The sequence below is a fragment of the Homo sapiens genome, chromosome 2 (assembly GCF_000001405.40).
Source record: "Homo sapiens chromosome 2, GRCh38.p14 Primary Assembly".
In the NCBI taxonomy this organism is placed as follows: Eukaryota; Metazoa; Chordata; class Mammalia; order Primates; family Hominidae; genus Homo; species Homo sapiens.
In genome coordinates, this window is record NC_000002.12 from 84,710,897 (window position 1) to 84,727,908 (window position 17,012).

At 41.2% G+C, this 17,012-nt stretch overlaps 1 protein-coding gene across 12 annotated transcripts in view; it reads left to right on the top strand.

Moving 5' to 3' along the window:
• DNAH6 (dynein axonemal heavy chain 6) overlaps nucleotides 1-17,012 on the top strand; it is a 360,018-nt gene that overhangs the window by 251,325 nt on the left and 91,681 nt on the right. For all 12 annotated transcript variants that reach the window (XM_011532650.4, XM_011532649.3, XM_006711956.3 and 9 more), the window contains 5 exons: nucleotides 2,199-2,363; nucleotides 4,664-4,731; nucleotides 7,308-7,488; nucleotides 11,729-11,908; nucleotides 16,773-17,006. In XM_011532650.4, the coding sequence (XP_011530952.1) occupies nucleotides 2,199-2,363; nucleotides 4,664-4,731; nucleotides 7,308-7,488; nucleotides 11,729-11,908; nucleotides 16,773-17,006 (828 nt within the window). The remainder of the gene's footprint in view (nucleotides 1-2,198; nucleotides 2,364-4,663; nucleotides 4,732-7,307; nucleotides 7,489-11,728; nucleotides 11,909-16,772; nucleotides 17,007-17,012) is intronic.

The window sequence follows — 17,012 nt, forward strand, 5'->3', positions numbered from 1 at the left end:
GTTTGTTGAGTCTAGGTGCTCCATTTCTTTGGCTATCATTGCAAGAATGGATGTTATTTAAAATTGTTCCCTCATTCAAACATTATTTGGGAACCAGTGGCAAAAAATATAGATGTGGTTTCTGTTCTCAATAGCTTACAATTGAGGTGGGGACAGAGACAGTAAACAGAGAAAGAAAGAGAGAAGAAATGAGAGAGGGAGGGGAAGAAACTTGTTATCAGAGGTTTGAAAGGGTAAAGAGGGGGCTGGGATAGTCACCAATGGATAGGCCACCAAGGCTGGTCTGACTTAGATATGTGGATAAAGGGAGTAATTTAAGCTGTGACCTATGTGATGAGCTCAGCCATATGCCAGGCTTAGAGAGAAGGGCTTCCCCAGCAAAGGGAACAGCACAAAGGCCCTGGGCACAAAAGAGATTGGTTAATGATCATGGTTTATTTTCCTATAAGTAATAAAAGAACAAGCGAGCCAAAACATGGACTGTGAGTTGAGTCTCAGTTTAACCGTGCCTAGAAGTATCACTGCGTCATCAGAAAGAAAGAAAGCTCAAAAAGACCATGGACCAGGGCAGTTTAGCTGCAGCACCTGCATGATGACTAGGAATTGTAATTAATATGTTAGCATTAACTAATATTTATTGCATGTTCACTCCATGCCAGACTCTGTTCTCAGTATTTTATGTATTTTAACTCATTAATCCTCACTGCCCCATCACAAGATAGTTACTATTGTTATTCCATTTTGTCAATGAGGAAACTGAGGCATGGAAGGGTTGCATAAACTATCCAAGCAACCTTGCCTGCCTAGGAAATCCACAGGTTACACTATTCCCCACTCAAGCCACAAAGAGCACAAGGGACCTCAGTGTGACCAAGCTTGGCCTTGACCAACACAAGGGTGATTCTGTAATGGATCCCAGTCACAGGAGAGAGTGAAGTCTCCAGAAAACTTTGGCACAGGTATTTTAGCTCCAAACTGGACTCCTGAACTCAGGTTTACTTTATGACACGAGAGATCCTGAGGGACTTTCCTCTTTCATGGCAGCAGACAAAAGGTTTTCTGTGATGTTCTACCTCTGGACAGAAGAGTGTTTTAACTGTAGTAGAGTGCTCTTGGGAGAGGGGGTGGGCCCTTGTCAGGGCCCCAGCCAGGAACAGGACACTCTGACCAGTCCTCCCCAACTCTCTGTGTCTTGGGGTCATCAGCATTATACACCTAGCTGCTTTCTACATTTGCTAGGGTGGTGTATTCAAACTTTGTCTCCACCCATTCATGAGTATGAAATCAGTTTAGACCATCTCAATCAACATTTTCAAATGAAATAAAATTTTTTAAACTCAAAATTATATTGAATAAAGGTAAATTTTATCTCATAAACTTTTGTTTGAAGAATTTACATGTGTGGGTACCATGTCACAATGTGGAACAGATTTGTTAAAATGGATGACAGTCAAATTTTGAAAGCCCCTGGGCCATGGGACCCCCATCACATACGTCCTGACATAAAGATGTTTCTGATGGGATCCCTGGGCAATGTCTCCATGCCCACGTTCCTACCAACAGTCAGATTTGCTTTGAGGAAAAAGGCATAACTATCATGTAGAATAGGGGTTCATAGACTTTTTCTGTAGAGAGCCAGGGAGTAAATGTTTCAGTTTTTGCAGGCCTCATGCAGTCTCTGTGCATATTCTTCCTTGTTTTGTTTTGGTTTAGTGTTTTTTGTTTGTATGTTTTTACAACCCTTAAAAAGGTAAAAGCCATTCGTAGTTCAAGAGTCATAGAAAAATGGCTACATGGGGCCAGATTTGGCCTATAGGCTGTCATTTGCCAATCCCTGGTTTTAAACAACCATGAAAATGAACAGATCTTCATTTGTGTGGAGCCTGTTGAAGTCCAACCCACAATGACTTAATCTACCCAGTTTCTCTCTTCTTCTCATGGAAATGAATAGTGTGTAAGATTGATCTAAATAGATATATTGCCTTCAGATGCTCTTATTTCCTTAGACTGCTAATAAAATGCTTACTGGAAAATAGGTACTGTTAGAGGTAGTGTGAGGATGTTAATAAATATCCATCAGATCACTGGAAAATTATTCATTCACAGTACATTTTGAGGCCTAAGGAATTTTGTGAAGTTCATGCTATCCATTTTAATTGCTTCTTTTTGTATTGTCCTGTTTTGTTTTAATTTCTAAGCTTAAGGAAACCTTGGATCCAGCTCTAGAACCCATTCTTTTGAAACAAATTTTTATCAGTGGTGGCCGACTACTCATCCGTCTTGGAGACTCAGACATTGATTATGACAAAAACTTTAGGTTCTATATGACAACCAAAATGCCAAATCCCCACTATCTGCCTGAGGTATGAACTACTGGTCTGGAATTCTCAACTTAACTGGATTATCATGGTGTAATGAATCTCTGAAGTTTGATGGGCTCCCACCCGGAGGGAAAGTGCTCCCCCATTCTCCCCTGTCTCCTATACACTCCCCTTTCTTCCACCATCTTCCATTCTTGCTTCCCTTCTGAGCTTTGATTCTGATTCCAATCACCCTTGTCATCACCATCTAGTTAGGTTGCAAGCCCCTACCCACTGGGGCCCAGGCCGATGCTCTGTCTCGCTCCACTGTGCACCTCTCCAGTGCCCTCGCCATCTCCCTCCTGGTCCACAGCCACTCCTCCTAAACATAGGGCATCCCCCTTTTAAACTCTCTCTTTCCTCCATCAGCAAAGACTATTTTTGTCCCTGTTATTATGACTAGTAAATGAATCAGAGCTTAGTTGAGAGTCCATGGGGCTGGGGTTGGGGGGAGGAGGAGATGTCATTACTTAAATGTGCAAATGCCCACAGCATATGTGCCCAAATAAAGAGGTCACCCATTTGAAAACTCTAGGAACAAGACAACACTAGAGAATCATGATCTAGAGGTCCAGTGTCTACACTTAGAGTTATGGGTGGTGGGGGTATCTTGTCCCCTTCTCATGCTCTTAGATTCTTTGAGTGGAGCTGTGTGAGCTCCACTCCATACATATGTCCCTGAGACTCAGAAGACTCTAGAAGAACCCCTACTCTAGTACTACAGTGTCCAAGGTAGTTGCAACAGAAATGAAGACAGCTGGGACTCCATTGCCCCTCCCACCAAGCTCCCACGGGAGTCTCCCTGGCCACAATCCCCCTCACATGCCCAGGTGCTGCCCCAGCTCCAGGCATGTCTGTGCACTCTGCAGGCTCTTACCTAGGAAAGGAACTTGACCTCAAGAACTTTACTTCTTCACCACCACAACCCTCCCAATATCCTTAAATATACCATTCCAAAGAGCGTCACTTTCATTTTAGCTGTTGAATTGCTCATAGCTATCTGTCTTCACCAGATGTGTTCAGGTTGAATGAAATTGACACACTTCTTGAATAAGATGGGGAAATATCATTGAAAGTTTAAGTTAGGATTTTCCTTGTCAGCCTCGAGGAGTTTAATTACACAGCCACTGCCAGGGCTCATGTCCCAAGTCCCATTTCAGAGTTTAGAAAAGTGACCAACATTACCAGAGGCTGGGAAGGAGAATGGAGGGGAGCAGGAAGGTAGGGATAGTTAATGGGGACAAAAATATAGTTAGATAGACTAAATAAGATTTAGTATATAATAGTGCAACAGGGCGACTACAGTCAACAATAATGTATTGTACATTTAAAAATAACTAAAACAGCATAATCAGAATGTTTTTTACTCAAAGACATGATAAATGCTTGAGGTGATGGATACCACCTCCAAAAAAGAAGTGTGACCAACGTGCCAACTTTCACTCTTTGATTTCTCACTTATTTAACTTTTGAGAGGGTGTATTGCCCACAAGACCCAAGCCTAGCTCTGTAACAGGGGGCAAATTATCCCATTTCCAGGAACCTCACGTCAATCATCTCTAAAAAGAGATCAATCCTACTTCAAAGATTTTGTAATATGGTAAATATTACAAAATTACAATATGTAATTTACCATATTACAAAATCCTTGAAGTACGATGCCATATGTTCATTCACACACTCTTGTTATACTTACTGGTTTTTGCTATTGACTTATCGAGTGATGTCAGAATATATTATAGTAATAATTTCTCATTAAAATGTTATTAGACAAAACATATAAAACTTTATTTGTTTATCAATAATAGCTTCTTTCAAGCAAAGACACACTGTATCATAAGTAACTAAGTGATTTTATTACCTCATTTGGTTCTCACGGCTACCCTATGAGTTTTTACTATAATTATCCAAATTTTTAAATACCGGAAACTAAAGCTCAGCACAGATGAGTGGCTCATCCAAGATGACACAGTCACTAAAGGGTGCAGCTCAAATCTGAACCCAAGCTATCAATTCCAAAATACTGCTTTTAATCGTTCGCTGGCTCACCTTTCCATTAAACACAATGTAGGATTCTGTAACTGTGGTGTTTGAGGAACAAGATTGTTACTCATACTGGCAGGGAAAAACATATGAGGATTTTATAAGCCACAGTACACCTAAAGTATGTGTGGGGGTAGGTGTGTGTGCAATTAGACCTGAGATACATCCGCCTGGGTAGTAATGAGCTGTGTTCTAATAAAGAAAGGTATTTTATTAGTTTGCACTTAAGCATTTTTATGCACTCTGTGCTTCTCTTCCAGGTATGCATTAAAGTTACCATTATCAATTTCACTGTAACAAAATCAGGCCTGGAGGATCAGTTGTTAAGGTAAAAAAACAGGGAGTTGAGGGGAGGGAAGGGGGTATTGTGGGTTTCCTAAATATTTTGTTTAGAAATATTGACAAAGACAATGTTCTGCTGTGTAAGAGCACTACACATGAACCCTTAATCAAAAAAAAATACAAGTAAGTGGCCAAGTTCTTTACCATTTCCATAGCTGTTCAGAGCAGCTGATCTTGTCTACCGTCTTCTCAAGGACGTCAAGGATAGACCCTTAATTCCCCACCCCCACTGTTTGAACCAGGCTGGCAGCCCAGCCCTGCCTCTTCCCTTCACTATGATTTCCATCCTGAGCAAGTGAACGAAGTCAGTCTTTCTGTTGTTCCTAGAAATGCACTGGTCCATACCTGTGAAAAAACAGCTTCTCCAAATATATTTGTTCCAGCTTCACTGGTTTTTAGGTGTTTTCTTAGTGTATTTAACTGTCCACTTCAAATATATGTGTGTGTATATATATGTATATATGTGTGTATATATATACACATATATACATATATACCCATATATATACATATATATGGGTATATATATATATGTATGCCCTTTCTTAGTATATTCTGTATGTGATTAAATCCCTATTTCCCAAATATTGCATTATGAGTTGTTAATATTAATCATCAGAATTAGCCAAGAGGTTCATGAGACAAACTTTAAAAATATTTGTTAAAATAATAACATTGATGTTGATTCAAAATTAATTTTATATTTAATATATATATTTAACCAACACATATATACACATATGTATGTATATAGGAATACCTATGTATGTATTTTTATTCACTCTAAAGAAACATAATTTAGACCCATGTTCAAAAGAAATATCCCTTATATTCAAGTCAAGATCGTCCTGACTTACCTATGTTGTCACTAATGAGCTTAAGTCTTATTTCTCTAGTTTGTTTTAGGAATTATTCTGCCAGCTGCTAACTTGCTTACCTTCCACTAGGTTAACTTCTTTCCAATTAAAGTTTATTTCAACATATTTTATGAATATATTCTAAGGACTTGGCTGAACACTTTGCATACCAGTTTATTCCTGTGCATAGTTAAGCTCAGCTGTGTCACTAAGCTCCCAGCATGTTAGGCTGCCTGGGACAAGAAGGAGAAGTGCCCTGATAAGAACACGAGAAATGCTGGGACTCAGTCATGGTGTGCAGTATCTCCCTGCTATTTCTCCTAGATTGATGGCATTGAAAAGGGAAGCTAACAGCCCTTAGCCAGGGTGAGGATGGAGCTGGGTCTGCCTGTGTTCTGACAGGCCGTCACCTATTTCAGTTGCCCTCTGCTCTGCTGAGCTCCTGGACAGGCAGTGATACACATTGTGCTCAATTTCTCATTGCAATTTTCCTCAGATCCTCTCAATTTTGAACACCACAGTTCACCTCCCTGCCTCCTGGAAAATGCCAACCACAATGCCTTAGTCCTTCTGGGGCAGCACAAGGCCATTTTTCAACTTCAAGGAATTCCATTCAGCCACCCAGACTGTCCACCTCCTTCTGTCTTCCTTTCTATTTCCAGAAACTGTAACTCACCTCACAGACTTCCTTGGCAGGCTCTTTTGATTCTTAACTTGATTAATTTGATTAATGTTTCTCTCAAGCTGTTTCCTGAGCTTACCTTTATCTTAAAAATTCCTTAAACTACTGTCTTCTGAAAAACTTATTTAAACAATTGAATTTGAGGTTATGATTTTTAGTATTCTTTATATAATAATTTCAAGGTGTCTGAATTCAGCATGTACATAACAAGTAAATAATGGGTTGTTACTTAAGGCAGCATACTAGTAACAGTGCATGCTCTGGAGCCAGCAGACCCAGGTACAAGCCCAGCTTGGCCTCTCATAGCCATGTGATCTCAAGAAGTGACCCACTAGAGTCTGTTTGTTCACCTGCAAGCTGGGGATGATAACCACAGTGCCCACCTTATGGGGGGGGCATTCAAAGGATTAATAGATAATCCACGTAAAACTCTTAGCAGGGTGCATTGCATAGAGTAGTACTTAATAAAGATTAACTTGCAAATGGAGACTGGGAGCAAATTATGAGAGAACAAGTGAAGGGAGATATAAGTTCACCTGTTTATACAAGGGTGAAGCTGGAGGTAAGGCTCCTTTCTCATATGCAATCAAAAATCATTTCATGGAGGTGGTGTGATTTCAGAATCTGCCATGTTGGTACAGAAAGAATATTCAAGGCATCATAAATATTCCAGGCACCATTTTCATCTTGGCACAAGCAAGCGTTAGAGACAGAAATTGAATGATTAGAGAGATCAAGTATTAAGCAGGTCTTCCTAAGAGATGAGCAGAAGGTGTGGGAACTTCAGTAGTATGCATCTCTAAAATACAAGATAAAAGATCAGAATTGACATGTAGTTGAGTCAGAAGCTATTGTGTAAACCCAGCAAAAGAGACATGGTGTGCATTCAGATATGGCCATCAGCATTAATGCTCAGCTGAATAGTATTCAGAATAAGAACGATTACAAACAGAGAAAGAAAAATAGAAGCAACTTTGAGGCACTGGCAGAGACATAATTTAGATATCTGAACTTTGGTTTTAGTGATGTGGTGCGACTTGAAAAACCCAGGTTGGAAGAACAAAGAATTAAGCTCATCGTGAGGATCAACACTGATAAAAACCAGTTGAAAACTATCGAAGAGAAAATCCTGAGAATGCTCTTTACCTCTGAAGGAAATATTCTGGACAATGAAGAACTTATTGACACACTCCAGGATTCAAAGGCAAGTAAAATATTTTTAGTACTTATGGAAAGTATGTTACTTCAAAAGTTATAACTACAGCCTTTGAGGGTCCTGCAAGGGCTTTTAAAGCAAGACGGGGGCCACACTGGGCTTCCATGGACACACAGACGGGTGCCTGCCTGTCAGGGCTCCTTGCCAACCAAAGAAACCTGGAGAAACTGTAGACCACTGCTTCTCTTGTCTTGTCTGCATTTCTTAAATAAAACACATAAAGAACTGGACAAGATATAAATCGAAAGGAACAAACACAACAAACTTTCATATGAATGCCATCACCTGCAGGAAGCCTCTGTCTGATATTCCCAGTTGGAATTAACTTCCTCCTCCTCAGAACTTCTATAGTGTCTTATCTGGATCTCTACTACAGCACTTGACACTGTTTATCCTATGTCACAGTTATCCAATTACATGGCTTATCTCTTTTGTTGTGTTGTTAAGTTCTATGCAGTGGGAATCTGTGAATAGTTCATTTTGATATTCCTTCTCCAAGGATTACACATGGTGGTTGCACACAATTGGTACTCAACAAAAACGTGTCGATAGTAAGATGAAGTTTTACCTTAAACTTAAAATTCTTCAGTAAATTATTTCTCAGATTCAAACTATCATTTAAGGAGTGCATACTAAGAACAAATGATTTTCATCCACTTGTGAGAAACAAATAATTTACTGAAAAAAAATCCCCTTGACTTTATTAAACCAGAAACACATAGGTTATGTTTTTTGCTTTTGTTGACATCAAAACTGGTTGACTGCTTTATATTGTATAGTCCCTTGAGATTGCAGTATTAAAACAGTAATAAGCAAGTAATTTTGGGCCTCTGTTTTCTTCCTCTCTGCTTTAGCTTGTTTGTTCATAGATCTCTTTATCCTCCTGTCGTTCATTCTTCCTTGGGTTTTTTATTTTTTTATTTCTGGCGGTTGTGTGTTAACCCACTTATTTTTATTTTTTAGCAAAGTTGTACATGCCAACTCTTTAAAGAATGAAATATTCTACAAGGCTTATTATGAAAAATAGCATTCCGTGCCTTCTCTTCCCACCAGCCACCCATGCCTCCCTTCACAGAGGCAGCTCTCTTGAGTTTTTGTTTTTTTTGTTTTTTATTTTGTTTTGTTTTGTTTTGAGACAGGGTTTCGCTCTGTCACCCAGGCTGGAGTGCAGTGGCATGATCATGACTCACCGCAGACTTCATCTTCTGGTCTCAACCCATCCTCCTCCCTCAGCCCCCTGAATATCTGGGACTACAAATGCACGCCACTACGCCCAACTAATTTTTCACTTTTTTTTTTTTATTTTTTGTAGAGACAGTGTCTCACCATGTTGCCCAGGCTAGTCTTAAACTCCTAGCCTCAAGCAATCCTCCTGCCTTGGCCTCCCAAAGTGTCGGAATTACAGGAGTGAACCACTGTGCCGGCCAAGGCAGCTACTTTCATTTTGTGTCTTAACTGTTATCTGTACCTCTAACACACACACACACACACACACACACACAGACACACACACACAAACACACACACCTTCCCATCCTCTGGCCTCCCACTGTAGTTATATCCTGATTATAGCTGAACATTAAATGTTAACATTGCCTAAGGGTGAAGATCTGGCTTTAAGTATTTGGGGTCTGAGAGGAGAAGGGCTAGGGTCTCAGCATCCAGTCTGCAGTCACCCAGTCACTCTGTTTTAGTTCCTTCCTTCCATCAGAAAACCCTCTCTTTTACTTTCTCCAAAGGAAATTTCTATTTTTTCTGCCAGGGTGAGAAAGGGACAAACCCCTGGCCATGGGTGGTGTGGGAAGATGACCTAGGGGGTCCTCTTACAACCAATTCTTATTTTAAGCCCTTCCCACTTCCAAGAGTGCTTCTTTTTTTTTTTTTTTTTTTTTTTTTTTTTGAGACAGAGTCTCGCTCTGTCGCCCAGGCTGGAGTGCAGTGGCGGGATCTCGGCTCACTGCAAGCTCCGCCTCCCGGGTTCACGCCATTCTCCTGCCTCAGCCTCCCAAGTAGCTGGGACTACAGGCGCCCGCCACTACGCCCGGCTAATTTTTTGTATTTTTAGTAGAGACGGGGTTTCACCGTTTTAGCTGGGATGGTCTTGATCTCCTGACCTCGTGATCCGCCCGCCTCGGCCTCCCAAAGTGCTGGGATTACAGGCGTGAGCCACCGCGCCCGGCCGAGTGCTTCTTGCTACTAATTCTTAAGCCTTTGAGGAGGATTATTTTTATAAATCGGGTGAGTTCGTGGCTATCCACTTTTGCCAGTGTAGGAATCCATTTTTCTGGGTCTGCTAAGTCATTGCCACCCTTCTGTCTGCTTTCGAGCTCCCAAAATTCGTTGATATTTCCTCGCCCATTCTTCCTATCTTTATTGGTTTACTCTGCATTTTTAAGCCTTTTCCTACAATTTTATTGTAGTTTCAGTAGGAAGTGAAGGTAGATACACATGTGATGACTGCCATCTTTATCTATAAGCTGGTTTATTTGTTTTGCAAGGAGTTGCTTTGGAGTCATCCTTTCTATACAGCAGGGATCAAACTGATCCTTGGCTGTGTTTCCTGCCACTTCTTGGCTACAGTTTATACTCCTCTCAGCTCTTAGAATCCTTACATAAAAATATGTCTCATATTCTCTAAACGCGGCTGAAACCTCAAGCCTGTAGGGCATAATGTCTACAAGTAGTTGCCAAACTCAACGGAAGCATATAGTATTCTAATATTCTTTGGCAAGGAGATGAAAACAATCCACTTTCCTTCTCTTTAGCCCTGGTTTCTACATTATCAGTGCCTTGTGCTCCCTAAGACATAAAGAATTATTTGTTAGTGGGCCTACATGATCCACCAACTGATCCCATATCAACTTTTTTTTTCTACTTGGATTTGAAAGCTTTAGTTGAGTCCCATATTAACATAGGGGTTTCCTACTCAACTCTGCCCTTTATTTCCCCTTCAGCTCCCTAAGGGGTTATTACAGGGAGAGTTTGATCTCTGATTCCTGGAAACAGCTTCTGCACTGAATCCTTCCCCTCCCTTTCCTGGTGGGCTGGGGTAAATAGTCTAGACTTATACTCTTTATTATGGTAGGTAGCCACTAGCCATAGGTGGCTGTTGAGCACTTCAAATATGGCTAGCCTGAATTAAGATGTATTGGTAGTGTAAAATACACAACAGATTTCAAGGGCTAAATCCAAAGAAACAAAATATCTCAGTAACTTTTATGTGGATTATATGTTGATATAATATTTTGGGTAGATTAAAAATATACTATTAAAATTTCTTTTTATCTTTAATAAATTTAGAAAATGTATGATTATTTATGTGGCTCACATTATATTTCCATTGGAAAGCACTGGTCTATACAGGAACTTGATGATTCCTTTTAGCTTTGATGGAGCAAATACTGAGCAGTCAGTTCCCTTGGTGATTTTTCATGGTCCCTGCTCTAGACCCTTTGACTTTCTAGAGAGAAAAGGATTTCCCAACCCAGGGATATCCACCTCTGAAAAACAGTGGGGGAAGAGAGAGGAGGCAGGGGCAGACAGCAGTAGAAAGAGAGAGACTGAGAGACATAGAGAAGGGAATCTTGGAAGGCCCATTGGCCAGAGGGCTCCCCAGACCCACAAACCCAAAATGCAGAAAACCAAAAGACCTTGAAAGCATCGCTAACTCATTTGGGGTTATAATCCTCCACAAACAACAGCTTCTATCCCATATGTCTATACCTGGGAATACTAGGTAAAGAACAAGAATATTAGTCACCCTTGTTATTCCAGGGAGGGATGTGGTGCCACTGCCTCCCAGCCACTCTCTACTCCCTTCTTTTGGGCATCTTCCTGGGTATCCCTTCTCCTTTCATTCCTTTATTCATTGTGCTTGCCCTGGACTGCTCACAAAGAAGTTCGGGAGCAATTAGGAGTGCTGTGATGGTGTTTGCATTGCAGGAGTAATTCAGATTGAGTCTCAGAGACATGCTGCTTCTATGTTTTCAAAGCTACTTGTATTGCCTGCTGCCCTCTGCCTATTCCTAACTCTGGAAGGAAGAAAGGTCAGCTTATTCAGAAGGTCACTGAGCCCTGAGACTCAGTCGTTCCACCTGGGGACCCCTTATTATAATCACCAACTCATTCTATCCTTATTTCTTCCCTAGACCTAACTGGATACATTCCAGAAGTCCCACTATTTTTCTGGAACAGATCCCTAAGAACTTGTTATTGTATGTTTATTCAGATCACTTCTGGTGCCATTAAAACCAGGCTGGAAGAAGCAGAGTCCACTGAGCAGATGATCAATGTGGCTCGTGAGAAGTATCGTCCAGTGGCCACTCAAGGCTCTGTAATGTACTTTGTCATTGCAAGCCTCTCAGAAATAGATCCTATGTACCAGTACTCATTAAAATACTTTAAACAGGTAAGTGTGTTCATGTTGTTAATGACAGTCATCTCTTTGGCCTCCATTACACCTGTTGAATTACTTCTTGCTTCACATAAGCCATAAGTCTAGTTATCAGGTAAAATCTCCCAGGTGCATGCAAGGTTCAAGAGTGGTTCCAGCCAGGCATGGTGGCTCACACCTGTAATCCCAGCACTTTGGGAGGCCGAGGTGGGTGGATCACCTGAGGTCAGGAGTTCAAGACCACCCTGGCCAACATGGAGAAACCCCATCTCTACTAAAAATACAAAAATTAGCCAGGCGTGGTGGCAGGTGCCTGTAATCCCAGCTACTCGGGAGGCTGGGGCAGGAGAATTGCTTAAACCCAGGAGGTGGATGTTTCAATGAGCCAAGATCGTGCCACTGCACTCCAGCCTGGGCGACAGAGCGAGACTCTGTCTCAAAAAAAATAAAAAATAAAAAAGAGTGGTTTCACCAGCCCTTCCAAAGATGCAGTTTTTAGAGTAGAGTTAGTGATTATTATATATATATATAAAAGGTATATATAAAATTTGAATTTTTTTTAAAGATTTGATTGCCCAGTATGCACAGAACACTCTGTAGAGGAAGAGAAGAAAGCTCCTTTGCAAGTTTCATTTGCTCCTGACTTCCTCAACTAGCTAGCATGTTTGTTTTCCTTCATGCCTGCCCTTCTCTCTTTTTTAAGAGTCACAGCTGAGTCCCATTTCTTTAGACATCCTCTGCAGTAATCTAGATTCCTTTCCACTATTAGTGTTTTCTGTTGTATCTCAAGTCCAAACAGCACTGACCTTAACCAAATTGGTTTATGTATCTTTTATTTCCCAAACCTTTTATGCAACAACCTGTTCTTCCTTCCCTGCGCCCACTTCTGACTTAGAGGGATCTCTTTCCTTTGTTTCTGTCCCACTTTCACCATGTGACTATGAGACTCTCTTGTTTTATTTCAGCCTCTCTTCTTTATCTCATATTCACAGTTGAATTTCATCTGCTGTCTCATGAGTAGGATGTTTTCACCCCTTATCCTCTTTGTAGCAGCATTCATTTTTTCTCAAAAGCAAATTCAATGCCACAAAGCTTCAGCAGGCAATGCCAATTTTGCTAAAGACTTCCAGGGAAGACAGAGAGTTTGCATTACTCACTATACAGCAAGACTACCAAGCATCTGCATCAGAGGTTCTCTCAGGTGCCAGTGGCCTCTTCTCAGCCCACCCGACCAAAGCCTCCCTGGCTCAGTCTTCCCATCAGCTCCTACTTCCTGTTGGCAGTGCTGTCTCCTTTTCTGGGCAGAGCAGTTTAACTTACTCTCACTTTTCTGTTCATCCATGCTTATACCCTACCCATGACACAACTCAGCCAACGAAGGCCTCTCCCTCCATACATGCCACTCAGTAGAAAACAGTGGAGAATTGTAAACATAACACTTTTTCCCTGCAACACATCTCTATTTCCTGTTATATGCCCCTGTATAGTCAATGCTGGCTCACACACCTGGAAGCCAGGCCAGCCTAGTCCTAGTGTTTTCAAAACACTGTTCCACAGACCTAGGTCCTAAATGAATTTTCACAGATATTGCCCATCAACACAATTCATACTCTATAGCCTGGAATTCAAAGCCAAATCCAGCCTGTCCCTGTTTCATCTCTCCAGTCACATTTCTCTCAACTCCTGTGCAACAGCCAAATTGATCCACTTACATTCCCAAGACTAACTGGATGCTTTTGTGTTTCTGACACTCCCTCTGTTTAAAATGGCCTTCCTCCCAACCTAAATGCTGCTGGGACTGCATTCTAAATTCTCCTAAATTCTCCAGCAAAGCCTGCTGCTGGGACTGCAAACATCTAGAGGCTGACTGGAATGAACATCCAAAATGGCTGACTCACATGGCTGGGCTGTCACTCATGGCACCTGCCATGGCCTCTCCTTGTGGCGTGGGCTTCTCACTACAGGGCAACTGGGTTCCAAGAGGGCCTCTCCCCAAAGTAAACGTTCAAAGAAACCAAGATGGAAGCTCCAGGACTTCTTCTGACCTAACCTTGGATTTCATGCACCATCAATTCGGCTACAGTCTGTTGGTCAATCAAATCACTAGGATAGTCCAGGTTTGAGAGAAGGGGATTTAGACTCCACCTCTCAATGGGAGTAGTAGCAAACAGGTTCAGCAGTCTTTATCCAAAATATTTGATATGCTTCATCTGGCATAATGTTACCCCACGTTGTCTTGGGTGGTTGGCTTCTCTCTCCTGCTGGAGCCTGAACTCCCAGGAGGCAAAAATGAAGCCTCACCAATCCCATATCCCCAATGGTGCTTAGCACCACATAATGCTCGAGTGTTTCATGAATGAAGAGTCTGTTTTGATCTCTGCATATAACATTCCAACAATTCTTATTGAACTTCAGATAGTCAAACAATTCTTATGACAGCTTGATTTTTCCTCTAGAGGTCTTATTTAGTACCCTCGATAATGGTTGGAGGTCCAGGAACAGTTTCTATTTCCAGGAAAGAATGGAAATGAGGAATTGAAAGAAATGGGAGTCAAGTTGTTTAGATAGGCCTGGGTTGTCTTTCAACAAGATGTTCATTTTAGCAGCCTTTGAAAGCCATCTGTGCTGGGTTCAAACCTCAATTCCTAGAGGCAAGGGTTTGGGTTCTTATATCTCTGCTCCCTTCCTTCAGTTGACAGGTATTAACCCAAGCAAAATAAGGATTACCAAATCCTGTAATGCCACCTAAATGACTTTTTGTTAATACTTTTCTTATCTTGGGTGTTTTGGAATTTATGCTCTTCAAGTTTTTAAAATCTCCTTCAAGAAATAAAAGTGAAAAGGCCCTAAAATATCTTGGGCTGAAAGTAAAAGTGATATAGGATGAATCATGAAAGCTCTGGAGTTTTACAGATTAGAAGGGAAACCAGAAATCCAAAACATATTTGTAGGTGACAGCCTTGGCCAGGATACCCTCTACCAAACCCATTTCACAGTGAAATTCTTTAGAGAATTTTGAGATTTACCAGTTTTATTTTGGTACCATATTATCACATATTCACTGGGCTTTAACCTCTATGGTTCTTGTCAGGTTGTTAAAGAGGGCTGAGTCCTCTTTTCTCCTGAGTGTGTTAAAACAAAACTCTATTACCTTTGTCAACAAAACTTTCAGGAGAATCAACAAAGACTTTCCCAATTTCCTGAAATAATTGTAGGCTTCCTCTAAGCCCTTTTAACTTGGGGGAATGGAGACCTATTTTGGTGAGGAGACTGACACAATCAGGCCCCTTTACCTTTGCGCTCCATCCTATTAGTAGAAGAGGTGGGTAGGAAAGGCCTGCACAGCCTCCGCACAGTATTTCTAGGGAGGAGTGGAGGATGCTTCTTGACCCTGATCTGCTTTGGTCCTTAGTGGGCTTCTAGCTGCCAGTCTGTTTTGATTGGTCTGCCCTCACCATGAACAATATATCTTGATCCCAGGGATTGGGCAGGTACTACCTCACCTCCCACCTTTGCCCCTCAGGCTGTGGATCCTGAGACTGCAAACACATGCCCCTCAGGGCCCTGGTGGGACTTCCCCTGAGTCTCTGCTGCAAGATCCCTCCTTGCCCCGTGACTTCCATGGAAGGCCACACATTCAGGCTCTGCTCAGCTTCCTCACGCAGCTTGGGACCTTTAGAAATTTTTTGATCTTCCTACATGGATGAAACTGGAAACCATCATTCTCAGCAAACTATCACAAGGACAAAAAACCAAACACTGCATGTTCTCACTCATAGGTGGGAATTGAACAATGAGAACACATGGACACAGGAAGGGGAACATCACACTCCGGGACTGGGGGAAGTGGGGAGGGATAGCATTAGGAGATATACCTAATGCTAAATGACAAGTTAATGGGTGCAGCACACCAACATGGCACATGTATACATATGTAACAAACCTGCACATTGTGCACATGTACCCTAAAACTTAAAGTATAATAATAATAAAAAAAATAAAATAAAAAATAAATTTTTTGATCTTCCTTCCACTCCACTTAAAAGTTGCAGAAAATGGGTAGGACTACCTCAGGCCTAATCCCTCAATGCCACCATCTCTACTGCCTTCCCAGTATCTTTATAATATGGGGCACCTTTGTGGTAGTGATTCTCCTTTCAAAATTTCCAGGTAGGAAACAAGGTAGAAATCTCCTTTAAAATCACAAAAATCAGTTTCTCTTAAATTTCCAGGAAAATTCTAGCACATTACTTCTACACCCTAAAAATTATCTTGGGGAAGTGCTAAGAAATAAGCATGAGCTTACCTTGCTCTTACATCTCTCACCCCAAAATGCAGAGTTTATCAAATCTGGGTTGAAGATGTGAAAAAACTGGTCCTGCTAGCTCACCTCTGTTTTCCAGAGTTTCATGTCTCACATCAAGATGATGCCTCTTGAATATTGTCAAGAGCTTGGTGTTGGTCCATTTCTTAAAAATAGGAGAGAAAGGGGAGTGTAGAAAACAAATATCACATATCACTTTGGGATGAATTCTAGACTTTTTCATAGTACAGTAAGTCCTCAATGTTGTGGATAGGTTCTTGGAAACTGTGACTTTGTTTAGCAAAATGACATATAATGAAACCAATTTTTTTGGTCTCATCAATGTAATAGCAAAATGACTTTGAATGCAAGATTGTTCATAATTCAAAGACCTGCTGTGCATCATTTCACTTAAAGTCTCAGTTTCCAAGAACCTATTGGGCACATTGAGGACTTACTGTATTCATCTCCCATGCTGCCATTTACTCACTGAATGCGAACAAGGGAGACAGATTTTTTGTTCTCTGCAGAGAATGAATTAAATCAGAGACATTGATAGAGCTCTCTTTCACACAGTTGTTCAATACCACCATTGAAACTTCTGTAAAGACAGAAAATCTACAACAGCGCCTGGACGTACTACTAGAACAAACTCTCCTAACTGCTTATGTCAATGTTTCAAGAGGACTTTTTGAGCAACATAAACTCATCTACAGCTTTATGCTTTGTGTTGAGATGATGCGTCAGCAAGGAACCCTATCTGATGCTGAATGGAATTTCTTTCTCCGAGGTTCTGCAGGATTGGAAAAGGTACCT